Source organism: Homo sapiens, chromosome 14 (assembly GCF_000001405.40).
Source record: "Homo sapiens chromosome 14, GRCh38.p14 Primary Assembly".
Taxonomy (NCBI): Eukaryota; Metazoa; Chordata; class Mammalia; order Primates; family Hominidae; genus Homo; species Homo sapiens.
In genome coordinates, this window is record NC_000014.9 from 35932278 (window position 1) to 35947502 (window position 15225).

A 15225-nucleotide genomic window follows, 5' to 3' on the forward strand; every position below is an offset into this window, starting at 1 on the left:
GTTTTTGAGTTAATTGAAAGATTATCCTGGGTGGGCCTTACTTGATCAGGTGACAGCCCTTCAAAGGCAGACTGGGCTTTCCCTGAGGTGACATTCTCTCTTTCTTGTTGGTTTTGAATAAATAAACTGTCATGAAGTAGGTGGCCTTATTGAAGAAGCCCATCTGGCAAAGAACTGTGAGTGACTTTTTAGGAGCTGAGAGTGGCCTCTAGCAAGGAACTGAAATCCTCAATCCTACAGCTGCAAGAAAGTGAATTCTGCCAATGACCTGAGGGAGCTTGGAAGATTTTTCCCCAGTCCAGTTAGCCTGAACTTTCTGCATGAAAATTTTGATTATATTTCTCCTCTGCTTAAAATGCTGCAGTAAGTTCCTGTGGTCAAAAAGATGAAGTCTAAACTTTCTGAGTGTGTTGAGTCTTCATGATTCGACACTTGCCTGCCTTTTCCTCTCCTCCCCACGCTTTTCTCCCCCGTGCATCCTGTGCTTTCATCATTGAAACCACCACGAACCACCTGCACCAAGCACATTTTCACTTTCATGCGTTTGCACGTGTCCTTTTTCCTGGGTTTACTTATCCTCTCCAATCCTTGGGAAGTGTTAGGGTGATTCCTCAGTATTCCTGCTCTTTGCCTTCTGCGTATATTGTAGAAAGGCACTGCCCTTCCCCATTAAAACTAGGTATGATCATGTGACTTGCTTTGGCAAATGAAAATGGTGCAGAAGTGACACGTGTCTTATAGATAGAGATGCAAAGAGCCAGTACACGATCCACCATTTCCCCTTTCCTTGCTATAGCCACCGGCGGTGCACCAGATGCTGGAGGCTCTGACACGGGCACCAGAGTTCCCACGCCAGCCTAACAGGTTTTGCAAGCAAACTTGGACATTTATTGTCATAAGCCATCAAGATTTGGGGATTTTTGGTTACTGTGGCAAAATTTATGTTATACAAGCTGATACATCACTCCCCTCTTGTTGACATAGTTATCCTACAGTACTCAGCTCAAATGTCTGACCTTTCTAGGCAAAATGAAGTGTTTTCTTCTTTGTGTTCCAATAGACTCTTAAATGTATCTTTTTAGTATCTATCTCATAGATTGCTGTGAGGATTACCTGAGTAAATATATAAAGTGCTTATTAACAATGACTAGCACACTATAAGTGCTACCTATTATTATGATTTTATAGCACTTCTCTTGTTTTATTGCAATGATCTATTAAATATTCATCTTCTTTTAGACTATGATTATTTGGATGGCAAGATCTATGTTGTCCTTCATCATTGTATCATAGACACCTGGCTCAGTGCCTAGAACATAGAAGTCACTTACTAAATATTTGCTAATAAACGTATATTTTACATATGCCAGAAATCTCTGTTCCTAAGTTTCTCCATGTAGAACTATAATCCCAATGTGTATTTTGTTACCATAATTTATAGACAGTGTTTAAGAGAAAGTTATGCTTTTCTTGTTTCATAGCTGTTAAGCAATGAGGAACAGTTACTAGACTATGATATTAAAGATTCTAGTAGGCTTGAATTCTGTATCTGTGACCTTGGACACAACAAGCTTCTTTTTCCTCATTTGCACAATGGATACTTACCTCGTGGTTTTTATAAGGAATTAATTAAAATCATTTTTGTGAAATAGCACAGTGCTTGACAGATGGAAAACATTTAGTCATTTATTATTTTTATACATTGGCTGTTATGTAAAAATAATTATTGGTTCTTATTTTACTTCGGGCTTTCCCCGGCTTGCTTGATCTACATGTTTTAGTGTCTGTTTACAAAACAAGGAGGCTGATCCTTTCTTTTTCATAAAAATGATGTAATTTATAATTTTTGCCACATGCCTTGAGTTTCATACTCTAATTGTAAGTAACATGAAATAGTATTGTATACCTATAACCATTTGAGCTAAAACCAAAACCAGACGTTGTTGTCATTGTATGAGGAATTCACTAATGTATTTAGCATTCTCAATATAGTAAAATCCTACAAATTATGCTTACCCTAGGAGAAAAGTGAAAAGCACATCTTACATATTTTTCCTGCCAATGTCACAATTACATTGTTTCTATCTCAAAAAAACAATCATTACCTGCATTAAATCTAGATGTACCACTTTATACAGATCCTTGCATCTTTTTTAAAAAAATTTAATTTAACTTAATTTTAAGTTCCAGGATACATGTGCAGGTTTGTAACATAGGTAAAGATCCTTGCATCTTTAAAGGTAGCTGCCAAAAATACTCTCGATGTGTAATCTTTAACTCATTCTAGAAAATCTGTCCAATTCTTTTCAAATGAAATTGCAATCTAGTCAAAACTAAGTATCCCTTTAGAAACAGAATAGAGGAGTAAAGAAGATTAAAAAAGAAAACGGTCCAAAATGTGACTCATTCCTCTGGTTTGAGGTTTTTAAAAAGACATGCAAGGAAGAGCAGAATATAGATTTTCATTTTGTGGTGAGTAAAAAATTACCTTAGTGGTAAAGTGGGTACCATTTTGCATGAAATACTGCAATTTCTTAAAAAAGTAATCTAAAAACTTATTTGGGTCATTGTTAGCAAAGTTCACACCAAGTTTCTTCAAAACATAGCTCCTAATCTTTTTCTAAACTTTTCAGAGTAACTACAATGGTAGAATGAAGAAAATATTTTGATATCAGAAAATGTTTCTCCAGCATTGTAATAAAATGCCCAGTTCATTATCTTAGCAAGACTTACATTACTATAGTTAATTTTTTAGTCCTTTTTTCTTTCATATACCATGTTCTAAAATTAATTACAATACTCTAAAATGTAAATTGTGGAAATGAGTATTTAGAATTCACCTTTTTTCCTGTAAAATGTTTTTAAATTTAGAAGTACCCTTCAATGGTTGGGCCAGATACATTTTTTTAAATTTACTTAACTTTTGGAAGAAATTAAAATATTTTGTTTCACGATGTATTAAGACCTTTCCTTGTCTCCTTGTGAAGTGGGAATAGAGCTCATCATTATTAAGATGAATGTTTGAAATATAGGATTCTTAGGTTCTTGCTCTGTCGCTCAGGCTGGAGTGCAGTGGCGTGATCATAGCTCACTGCAGCCTCAACCTCCTGGGCTCAAGTGATCCTCCCACCTCAGCCTCCTGGGCAGCTGGGACCGCAGGCATGCACCACCATGGCCAGCTATTCTTTTGTTTGTTTGTTTGTTTTTTATAGAGACGAGGGTCAGACTTTGTTGCCCAGGCTGGTCTTGAACAACTGGGCTCAAGTGGTCCTCCCACCTCCACTTCCCCGAAGTGCTGAGATTACAGGTGTGAGCCATTGCACCCAGCCTGAAAATATGATTCTTATAAATTCTTAACTAAAATAAAATTATTTAAGAAAATACTGTTTTATTTATATATCTGTTATTTCCATACCAGGAAAATTTCTAGATTAGAAAATTCATATGTAGAATTGGCAATTATGTATTTATTTGAATACAAAAATAATGTCACTCTCACCAGTATTTTCTGGTGTCATAAATGTTAATATTAAATATTTAGAAATCTGTTAACAAATCATGATGTGATTGGCTGGTGTATACAACACTTACTGCACTCATATGAACAATAAAATAAGAATAGAAGCAGTTTCTTCTAGGGTGTGATACTTCCTTTTTTACAAAAGTAAGTACTGAATAAGAAAAGCAATTTAGAAAAATCCTTTTATGAGCAAAATGTGCCGCATTTCAACTTTCTAATTCAGGACAACATGTGCATTTTTGAAGACATAAATTGTCAGTCATGATAAAACCACCACAGTCTAATCTGGGGAAAAAGACAGCATTATCGCCATAACAATCTCTTTTATAACACAGTGTGCATCATGTGCATGAGTTTGGAAGGCAGACAGACCTTGGCTTCTTCCCTGGTTTCTCCCTTTCCTGCTGCATAGCACAGTTAAGTGACTCAGTGTCTCTCATCGTCAGGTTTATCATTTATAAAATAGGGATAATAGCATCTATCTCCCAAGGTTATGTGAGGTTTAAATAAACCCTTGTAAAAAACCCTTGTTTCACACAGCTTGGTACAGGTAAGCACTTAATATCCATTACTATTATTATTGCAAGTGTAGTACTTTATTTCTTAAAATGTATTTTCACATAGACTCTCTCATTTGAGATAATAAACTCCTGGATGACAGCACAGCTTCTTTTTTTTTCTTTCTTTCTTTTTTTTTATTATTATTATACTTTAAGTTTTAGGGTACATGTGCACAATGTGCAGGTTAGTTACATATGTATACATGTGCCATGCTGGTGTGCTGCAGCCATTAACTCGTCATTTAGCATTAGGTGTATCTCCTAAAGCTATCCCTCCCCCCTCCCCCCACCCCACACCAGTCCCCAGAGTGTGATGTTCCCCTTCCTGTGTCCATGTGTTCTCATTGTTCAATTCCCACCTATGAGTGAGAATATGCGGTGTTTGGTTTTTTGTTCTTGCGATTCTTTACTGAGAATGATGATTTCCAATTTCATCCATGTCCCTACAAAGGACATGAACTCATCATTTTTTATGGCTGCATAGTATTCCATGGTGTATATGTGCCACATTTTCTTAATCCAGTCTATCACTGTTGGACATTTGGGTTGGTTCCAAGTCTTTGCTATTGGACAGCACAACTTTTATTACAGAAGTATATACAAGTATTTAATAAGTGTGATTTTTGCTGAATGTGTTCAGATGAAAAGACAGCAGATTACATTCCCTGTGCTTTCATGTAAGATCACAATGTGTTGAAGATAATATTTTTCTACTTGTAGTATATGACTTCAAAACCATTTAAAGACATTATTTCGTTTATTCACCCTTGTGAAGCTTTATCCCACAAATCCATCTTTTATTCCCACTTTACAGATGGGGAAGAGAAATGTGAAGTAACTTCCCTAAGGCCACTGGGCAATCAGCTCTATAATGAACCCTCTCTTTATGATGGAATGCTCAGAATGTGGTATCTTCTGTTCTGGATGTTGATAAATCCTGAAAATTCCAATCTTGTTTGTAAGTGTTTGAATGCAGAGAAGTGAAAAGAGGGCATTAATCAGTTGTGGTGTGAAGCCTTTGGTAGCAGTCTTGCCATCCAGTCATGGCTATTGATGCCTTTAATCTCTCAGTGACCAGCAAGTGTTAAATCCATTTTTAAAAGTACCTTGTAACCTCCAACCTTGAGAAGATGAAAAATGGTTTGGGGAGCAATTAAAAGCCCCATGATATGTGGAGTAATTTTTAAATGAGATTTCCTGCAAGTACTTACATTTTACCCAAAGGTTGAGAATTCTTTTCTCTCTTTGTCTGGATGGAGTTAGCTTCTTGCCAGGAGGAAGCAAGGTAATGTTGGTAATAGTCTCAAAATGACCTATGAGAACATTCTGCTTTAGGGTCTATTTCTAGGAGGCAAATGACAATTGCTGCCATTCTGTCACACCAAAACATGCTAGTGGTAGTGGGGACCAATTTGTATACTCAGCAAAGAGGTCTGGTTGCAATTGAGCTAATTGACAAATTTCAGTTTTTTTCTTGGGCACAAAACATGTTCTAAGAGCCTTGTGGGAAAAGGCGATATATGTGGAGCTCCTATTATTCCATTCTGATTTATGTGCATTGCTACTTATGAATGGCTTCCTTTTAATTAGGTGTTTAATTTAAAACAGAACCTGTGACTATAATAACCCCCAAAGCACAAACTTGGAACATTAACCATTTGGGGTTGGGGGGAGGTGGAAATTCAGAAAGCCATTCCATCACAAGGCTATAACTGATGTACAGCACATGAAAGAATTCTTTATTATTTTATAGGACCATTAAGAAAACATTATGGAAAACAGCTTACACTGCTAAATAAAATTTAATTTGTTTTCCAGAATTATGATTTTTGTAAAAAATTATGTCTCATTGAGTGTATTTCTTTTTAACTTTTGAGTAAAGTAGGTTGGAAAGGGTCTTTAATTTGGGTGTTTAACCAGAAAACCTATTCTGAAGAAAAACCTCTTTCTTAATTCCTTGTTGCTTTGCAGACAGTATGTAAATCCGAAGGCAGGATTTAGGATGAAAGCAAATGAAAAGGGACATTGAATAATTAATGGTCATAGGAAAGAAAGAGCACTCAATGGAGTCATCACTAAATTCCTGTAAGTCCAAGACTCTAACACCCTTAAGAAAACACACACACACACACACACACACACACACACACACACACACACACACACGGTAAACGAGGCTTTAAGAGTTTAACAATTCTATACCCAGCTGAAAATTAAACCAAAAGAGTTTCATGGAGTCATTCTGAGATGCTCATAGAAGTATTAGCAAAAAGGAACTAATCTGTTTTATACTTCATGTTCACATTTTAGAATAGCATTCTGTGATCATTTTTAATGGGAAAATAAAATATAGGTGACCTCTCCAGGAATCAATATCCTTTTTCTCCGTTCTTGGTATTTTGCAGGCTGATTAATTTGCAGAGGTTGGCTTTGATTGCTGCTGAAGTAGAAAGCATTATAGATTCTCTGTTATTCTACAATCCACTTGGATGAGATCTGTGGTTCTATCTCTATATATTTATCTACCTTTCCGCATGGTGCTTAGTACCGTAGCTCTGTGCCTCTCCTAAACACATTGTGAAAATCTATTGTGCTGAACTCTCAAGTCTCTTGCTGTGAATAGGTAACTACTCTTTTTTCCCTCCCCCAGGAGAGCTGTTCTGTTAGGTAAAGGTAAATGAGCCAGACAGAAACAGGCATTTAGAAAACAGCTTTGTGTGTGTATATGAAGGATGTTGCTGGCTAAGTTTGAAAGCAAAAAGGGAAGGCACTGAAGGTCAGAAGATTTATATAATTCATATAGCAATTAAAGAAATAATGACTGAGAGAAAATGTGCTCAACGTGGAATGTGGGGTATTCTCCAATGCTTTAATGGAAGAGTTCGATATTTCCAGTCTTTAACACCCATTGGTGTAGTGTCTTGGTTATGGTTTTTGGCCATCAGTCAATCCTGGATAAACCTTTTTTCAGTTTCTAATGAACAGTTAAAGGAACGGTATCATAAATAGTCTCTAAATCACCTCTTTTCAAAAGTTTGAGATAGAAATAAAGCATAAAGGTTTTTTTTAAGGTCTAGTCTAGCTAGGAATGTTTCTTATAGATTACATCTTTGAGCAAATATTTCTCTACATTTGAAATATTTCATCATTAAGTGGTAGAATTATTGTACACCCTTTGACTTTTAAAGTATAGGTATATTTGAAGTTGCTTAAATGTGTACATTGGGAAAAACTGGGTAAAGTTTGCATAGATCCAAAGTTTAGATTAGTTTAAATACACACTGAATCAAGTATTATAATGTAAAAATCTTTAAATATATTTGATCAATTTTTTAGTATTTGATGATAACATTATACAGCTTGTTCAAGTGACTGTCAAAACCATCTTAAAAATGCATTTAGAAGGATTATATAACCCAGTTATATGTTAAATATACTCCTTATGCAGAGATTTATGCTTTAATAATTATGGTGATCTTTAAATAATTAGTAGTTGTTGAAAATGTTATTTAATTCATTATATTTTCTGAAAAATCAATATAGCATTAAATACTTTTATGTGAAGCCTATGTAGAAAATAATCTGAATTCCTTCCCAGGAGCAAATCCAGAATCATATTGGCGAATAAACACCATTATTGCTACTGCAAACTGCTACTTAAGAAATTTGCTCCCAATTAACCTTATAGAAAAATGAAAAACCGTCTTCTAGAAATGAACGCATTTATTGCTGTGAATATGTAAATTCCTCCACATTTCTACAATGTCAAAATAAACTGTTTTTAATCTATATTTATAGATCAGAGTTGGGAGCAACTTCTCTGTCTTTTACAAACAGCCTTGACTTCCCACTCTGAGTTCAAAACTGCCTTAAAATGTGTATTTTTTGTATACAAAAGGCATTCTAAAATTGTATTATGCAGTTATTGTGCTGAAAGAATGACCCTTGCCATGCTTTGTTTACTGAATGTCAAATTTTCATTTGTATTACAGCTGTGTACCATAGCAGTTTCGGTTTTGTATGAAGGGCAACTAATGCACAAAACAGTCAAACCACAGAGCAGTAATTAGTCTGGAAAAGATCAAAGTGTGCTCTTCTAAATCCAGCCAATTTGCTCTGGGTGTGCAAAACCAATAGTCTTTCTTTCGCTAAGGTCTCTTATTAATTTTTGCTTTCGTTTGTTGCAGAGCAGCTGCTTTACTGTCAATCCAACATCCTGCTTTAAAAAAATCCATTTTGATGCCACAAATGCAATTTCAATGGGTTTAGGAATAATAACCAGCTTTTCCCCCACCCCACTTCTAGGAGATAGAAACTTGAAAGTTTTCGGCATCTGTAAAGTGCAAGAAAGCAACATAAAGCATAGCACTGTTTAGATTTGTTGCTCTAGAAAAGGCCGAAGAAGAGTGATTAGTAAATGTTTCTGCTGTTACACTGTATGTCTGTTGTTCTCTTTTCTTCTTAACATGAGTTATTTTTATCCTTACGGTCACATTGTTAATTTTCGTGGAAAAATTATTTAATGCTCCAAATTATTAATTAAATTCAATCCAGCTGAAAAAAACTTAAACCGACTAATACTTCACACATCTCAGGATAAATACAGTAAAATAAGTAGTATCACTTGCTATTTTCTTGCTGTAATTATTATTTTTGAGTGAGTATGAAAGTGGCATTTGAGGCTGATGAATAAACCTTATCACAGGAGGTAAGTGAATAAGACTGCAGAATGAGAAAAAGAGCATAATATCATCACTTTAAATTTCTTTATCCAAGCAATAAATATTAACATGTACTAGCTGAATAAATATGCTTTTTTTGTGTGTCTAGTGTTACAACAATTTTCTGGTTTCACAATAAACTATTTAAATTTGATTCTGAACTAGTATACTCCAAATGTGTGGCAAATCTTTGTTTTGGTGTCAATGTCACTAGCTAACCAGACACTAAAACACAGTTAAGAAAGCCAAAAAGAGTAATGATACGCACAGTTATTACAGCATAATGGAGCTAGCGCAGTGGCTTATACCTGTAATCCCAGCCCTTTGGGAGGCTGAGGCAGGAGGATTTCTTGAGCTCAGGGTTTCAAGACCAGCCCGGGCAACACAGGGAGACCCTGTCTTCACAAAAAATAAAAAATTAGCCTGGCGTGGTGACTCGTCCCTGTAGTCCCAGCTCCTTGGGAGGCTGAGGTGGGAGGATTGCTTAAGTCCAGGAGGCTGAGGCTGTAGTGAGCCATGATTGTGCCACTGTACTCTAGCCTGGGCAACAGAGACCCTATTTCAAAAAAAAAAAAGAATCAGCATAATGAAGAGAAGTCCATATAAGTAATTTGCAAAAATTTGTTCATATGCAAATGTGCAATGCCAATAAAATGACCAGATAGGTTTGTTCCTGAAACATTTTCAATTGAACAGGAATTAAGTGCTTTTGAAAAGTGACAAAGTGATCATACAGTGAAGTTAAGACATCTCTTTCTTTATGTAACTGGTATAAATCAGGTACTAACTCTTGATTTTACTCTGAATTAACCACGACATACTAAATGAACTTGGGCTTCAGGGTTCTTCATCTTCATATAATATTACATGGTGTCTTACTAAAATCTGTTAGCTCCTGTAACCCCTATGATGCATCGCATGCTTTTCCATTTATTATTATTTTAAGGGTCAACTCTGAAGACGATAGTAAATGTGATGGGAGTAAATCTATACTAAAAATGAAATAAAGATATATAACCTACATTTCAGCTACTATTACATAAAGTCTTGAGATTCAAATAAAATCTCATTGCTTACCTTTCTCCAGCATCATCTAGGCCTTAACCTGAATCTCCCTATAAGACAACTCAAAACATGGCATTTAGCATTTTAAATTGCCTCAGGAAATGCATACAAAAATTCTGAAAATGTTTGAACTGAGAATTTTTTAAAAAAGATATTGATGAAAACGAGAGCTCTTCGAAAATTCAATAGTCGTTTTTTTTTTTTCCAAAAAGAGAAGAGAAGCTAATTTGTAAACTGTAGGTTGGTAGTCTCATTATCAATTATTGAGAGAGTGGTTTGTAAATCCTTGCAAAAGTAATTTTCTCTGCCAATGCAGCAAGGCAAGAAAATATAGAAAAAGTGCAAGGACTGGAAGGTAAGAGACAGTATTGTCATTATTCTTAGACGATTTGACATTTGATTTTCACAGAAAACTTAAGACAAGTGACAGGCTATTAAAATTAATGAAGGAGTTCAGTGAGATTGCTAGAAGAATCCAATAATAACAACAAAAATATTAAGAAGAGTTCTACACTTTCACCAACCAATTAAAATATGCAATGGAAAATATGATGGCTTTTATTAGAGCAACAAAGCTTGAAGAATCTAGAAAGTGACCTGAAATGCAGACAATACTCATGGAAAAATATTAAAACTTGATAAAAAGATATAAAGAAGCTCTTAGAGTTTGGAACATGGTAGGCACTGAAGAAATATTTGTTGAATGAATGAATCTGAATAAATGGAGAGATACGGCTCTCTCTCTCTCTCTCTCTCTCTCTTTCTCCCCTCTTTGTTTTTTTTTGGAGACTGCCTCTCACTCTGTCATCCAAGCTGGAGTGCAGTGGAACGATCATTGCTCACTGTAACCTCAAACTCCTGGGCTCAAGCAATCCCCCCGCCTCGGTCTCCTAAAGAGCTGGGATTACAGGTGTGAGCCACTGGGCCTGGCTGGCATTCTCATAGATGGAAAAGTTAACATTGTACAGCCCTTATTATTTATTTGTTTTTTAATGTAGTTCCAATATGGTGGGAGAAAACGTAAGGGGAAGAAACAATATTGGGAATGTGGTATAAGGGGGAACAACAACAACAACAAAAAGTAAAAATAAAATAGGCCCAGGCGCGGTGGCTCCTGCCTGTGATCCCAGCACTTTGGGAGGCCGAGGCGGGTGGATCACCTGAGGTCAGGGGTTCGAGACCAGCCTGGCCAACATGGCGAAACCTCGTCTCTACTAAAAATGCAAAAATTAGTTGGATGTGGTGGCACGTGCCTGTAATTCCAGCTACGCGGGAGGCTAAGGCAGGAGAATTGCTTGAACCCAGGAGGCAGAGGTTGCAGCGAGCCAAGATCGCGCCACTGCACTCTAGCCTGGGCAACAGAGTGAGACTCTGTCTCAATAAAATAAATGAAATAAAATAAAATAAAACAATAAACTGATGATGATAGGGTGCCATGAGCCAATCAATTTCATAGCATGTGCCTGAGAACCAAGAGAGGCGAAAAGAAATAACACAAAACTTTTCAATTAACATAAGCTAGAAAGTTACAAAATAAAGCCAGAAGCTATGGCTGATGTGCTTGATGGTGATCATCATCCCAGGAGAGCTTGAAAAGTGAATCGTTGGGTTGACTTTAGCAAGATGAAATCAGATAGGTGCAAGGGTAAAGTCTTGTCCTTAGGTCCAAAAACTCAATGGCAAAAACAGAATATAGAGAGAAATGCCTTAACAATATCACATGGGAAAAAAATTTAAGAGTTTAAGCTGTGTGAATTAATCGGATGTAAAACTGACTTACCCCCCACCACAAAAAAAGGAAAATAATCTGCTTTTAAGCTGCATTGATAAAGTAATAAAGTGTTATATAAGCCAATAATGCTCAACTTTATATTTGTAAGCCCAGCCTTCTGACATCAATACTTATTTCCCACAAGCATCTCAGATACAGCAGATACATTAGCTTTTTCTCCTAAATGTTATTCTCTGTCAAGGTAGTTTCCCAACTCATCTGTTCCCAAACTTGCATGGCTATCTACTCTTCCTCTAGAATATACTAATATACTTTCCTTTTTTTTTTTTTGACGCAGTCTCACCCTGTTGTCCAGGCTGGAGAGCAATGGTGTGATCTTGGCTTACTGCAACCTCCGCCTCCCGGGTGTGTTGTTCCTCTCCTGTGTCCATGTGTTCTCACTGTTCAGCTCCCACTTATAAGTGAGAACATTGGTGTCAATGTTTTTTCATGCATGTCTTGCCTGTAATGATGTGGGGGATGAATTTCACTATGGTGCTAACTTTGTCACCATATCCTAGGGTCTCTTTTTTCTCCTTTTTAGTTAGTTTTTATACTCAGTATTTACTTAACATAGTGTTTTAATAGATAGTGATGAGAATATATGCTTACATTTTATTTTATTGGATCACAAAAAAGTTGCTCTTCAAGTATTTTATTATTGACACAGAGTCTAACAAACATAAAGAACAGATACTTGTTAGAAATATTTATAATTTGATCCAGCTATTTAGCAAAAATTGTAATATGTATTTCTTTGAATGTTGAGCTCTGTTTCACCTCCTCCTTCTTTCTAATACCTTTTAGTCACTGTTTTAGGTTGGGTTCCCAAAGAAGCAGATCCTGAGGCATGGATTCGAGTGTAAGAATTAATCATAGATTTGGGAGGAAGAGATCCAAGGAAGGGATGGCGGCAGTGAGAAAAGGCAGGAAATGAAGCTACCGCAGGGAATGTTCTCAAGCAGCTTTCTGCTGTGGGCAGCTCCCCCTGGGACCCTCTGGAGTCAGTACAGATTCTGAGTTGTGTCACATGGAAGGCAATACATCCCTCAGCTCTTATATGTTTGTCATTGGCTAGACACCAATAACCAAGCACTTCCGGCCTACCTATCTGCGGCCCCAGAGAGAGCCCTCAGGTGGAGAACACAGGTGTTGCGGCAAGATGCAGTTGTCTGGCATAGGGACAATCTGGACAAAAGGAATGTGGGCAGGGCCACTGCCTCCTGTGAGATGGTCACCACACCGCCCTCAGAATGTTGTTGACCATGCTTCCTAAGGCAGAAAGAACAGGTATTTTTAATTTGTACTTTTGAATAAAAATCCTGCAAAAGAGACTTTTTAATCTTTATCAAATTTAGTAAATTTTTGTAAGGTTTTCATAGCCTAGATATAAATCCATATTTTAAATAGGCTTCTTCATATTTATATGTGTGTGTGTATATATATATATATATATATATATATATATACACTATATATACACATACATACACACACAGACACACACACACACACACATATTTGTGGTCAATGAATTGTTAGTATTTTTATCTGGCAAAGATATTATACAAGGAATAGAAGGATCAGTTTTGCCTTTTTCTCAGTTTCTCTTGTGCTAACTCTATTAGAATTATCTTCAGTGTGGTGTTTCTTGGAAGAGATCTTTTAATTTATCTATTTTATGACAGTTATTTGCTTAAAACTAGGTAATATTCATAAATCTATTTAACTGGACACCATAAAATGCAACATGTTACAATAATTACAAAAAAGAATGATGAGGTGATGGTCCAACCCTTCATATTATGGGATTCCATTTTCCTGCAGGATGCTCTGCTCACTATATGATGTGTGACAGTTTGACATTCAGACCTATTGATTGTTAATTGAAATGAAATATTAGTGAAGCTTAACATTTTCCTAAATCTTGGAGTAAAAATAAGTTAGAAGTTCCCATAATTTACCCCAGTGGATCATCTTGTGTGTCCCCTGTGGTGTGTGCACCCCAGTTTTGAGACCCCTGGACTGTAGGAAACAGTTCAGATGCCTTAGTGTGGCACACACTGTCCTCCATTGCTTATGCTTCCAACCTCAGTTCTTGCCTGGTCATGCCTCATACCTTGCGTTTTGGTCAATATGAACTTTTTGAAGTTGAATTGATCATGTTGAAGCGTATGGCAGAACCTTCACTTATAATTGCTTCTGCTTGGAATGCTCTTTCTTTGGACTGTCCAGTAACACCTCCTCCATGAAACTTGCTGGTCCTTTCCCACGCCTGAGGGAGAACTGAAAACATCCTTTTTGGAACACTACAGTACTTTCCTCCTTAGACCTTAACCCTTCTGTTGGACATATTTGCTAACCTTCTTGGCTCCTTTTTTTTTTTTTTTTTTGAGATGGAGTCCTGCTCTGTCACCAGGCTGGAGTAGATAGTAGTGGCGTGATCTCGGCTCACTGCAACCTCCACCTCCTGGGTTCAAGCGATTCTTCTGCCTCAGCCTCCTGTGTAGCTGGGACTACAGGCGTGCGCCCCCATGCCCAGCTAATTTTTGTATTTTTAGTAGAGACGGGGTTTTAGCATATTGGTCAGGCTGGTCTCGAACTCCTGACCTCGTGATCCACCTGTCTTGGCCTCCCAAAGTGCTGGGATTACAGGCGTGAGCCATCACACCAAGCTGGCTCCACTTATAGACCTTCATCTCCTTAAAACCAAAGATATTGTCTAATTTATCTTCACATCTCGGGCATGTAGCCCTCAACAGGAACACAGTCATACTGTTGAATTAACTATGGAAGTGGCACTGCATTGGTCGACCAGAGTAGAGGACTGTGTTTAGCTCTGTGAGTGTCTTGAAGAAGGATTTGGAAAACTGATGTGTACCCAGAAGGAAAGAATTGCAAACAATCCCAGAGCAATTGTAGCCTGAGACCAAAGTATAGAATAGCAGAGAAGAGGGATTTGGTTCTAATATAAGGAAGAATTATTTAACAATTAGAGCTGCTTGAACATGGGATGAATAGCTTTGAAGTATGGTGAGTTTCTCACCGCTGAAGATGTTGAAATAGCCTGAATGGGTAACTTCCTTGAGCAGGCTGAACAAGGGCTTAAAGCATCTGGAGTGATCACAGTGAGTGAAGAAGAATTTAGATAATCTTTGGACTGCACAACAATCTAGCTGAGATTTGAACCCCTTTGATATGTCTAGTGATAGGTCTAAACTTTAATAGATACTGTTTGAAAGAAAAGCAGTGAGGATATTTTAAGTAAACAATCCCTCTGTCATTCTGAGTCTCTGGATCTAGGTGAGACACAATAGTAATGCTGTTTTGCTTTCTCATGAGTCAGGTGACACTGAAGGCTAAGAAAGTCTTTGAGCTTGTACCGATGCTCTTATTTTTCTTTGTAACTACAGACAACTAACTTGCTTCCTTTTTTCGTCTTAGAAGTAGTCTATCCTCACCCTGCCCAACCACGGATTTAAAATTTGTGGTCTGAGAATCCATAACAAAGTGATAAAGTCTCTTGGGTTTGGGAGCAGAGGCAGTTGTCTTAATCTTCCATATATTTAGGGCTGCCTGAGACAGAAT

The 15225-nt window shown here is 36.9% G+C and overlaps 1 annotated feature.

Moving 5' to 3' along the window:
* Nucleotides 735–794: a silencer, noted in NCBI's record as "silent region_5682". NCBI's record gives its function as "represses an Ori minimal core promoter by ATAC-STARR-seq in GM12878 lymphoblastoid cells {active_cell/tissue: GM12878}" and the evidence as "EXISTENCE:reporter gene assay evidence [ECO:0000049][PMID:35858748]".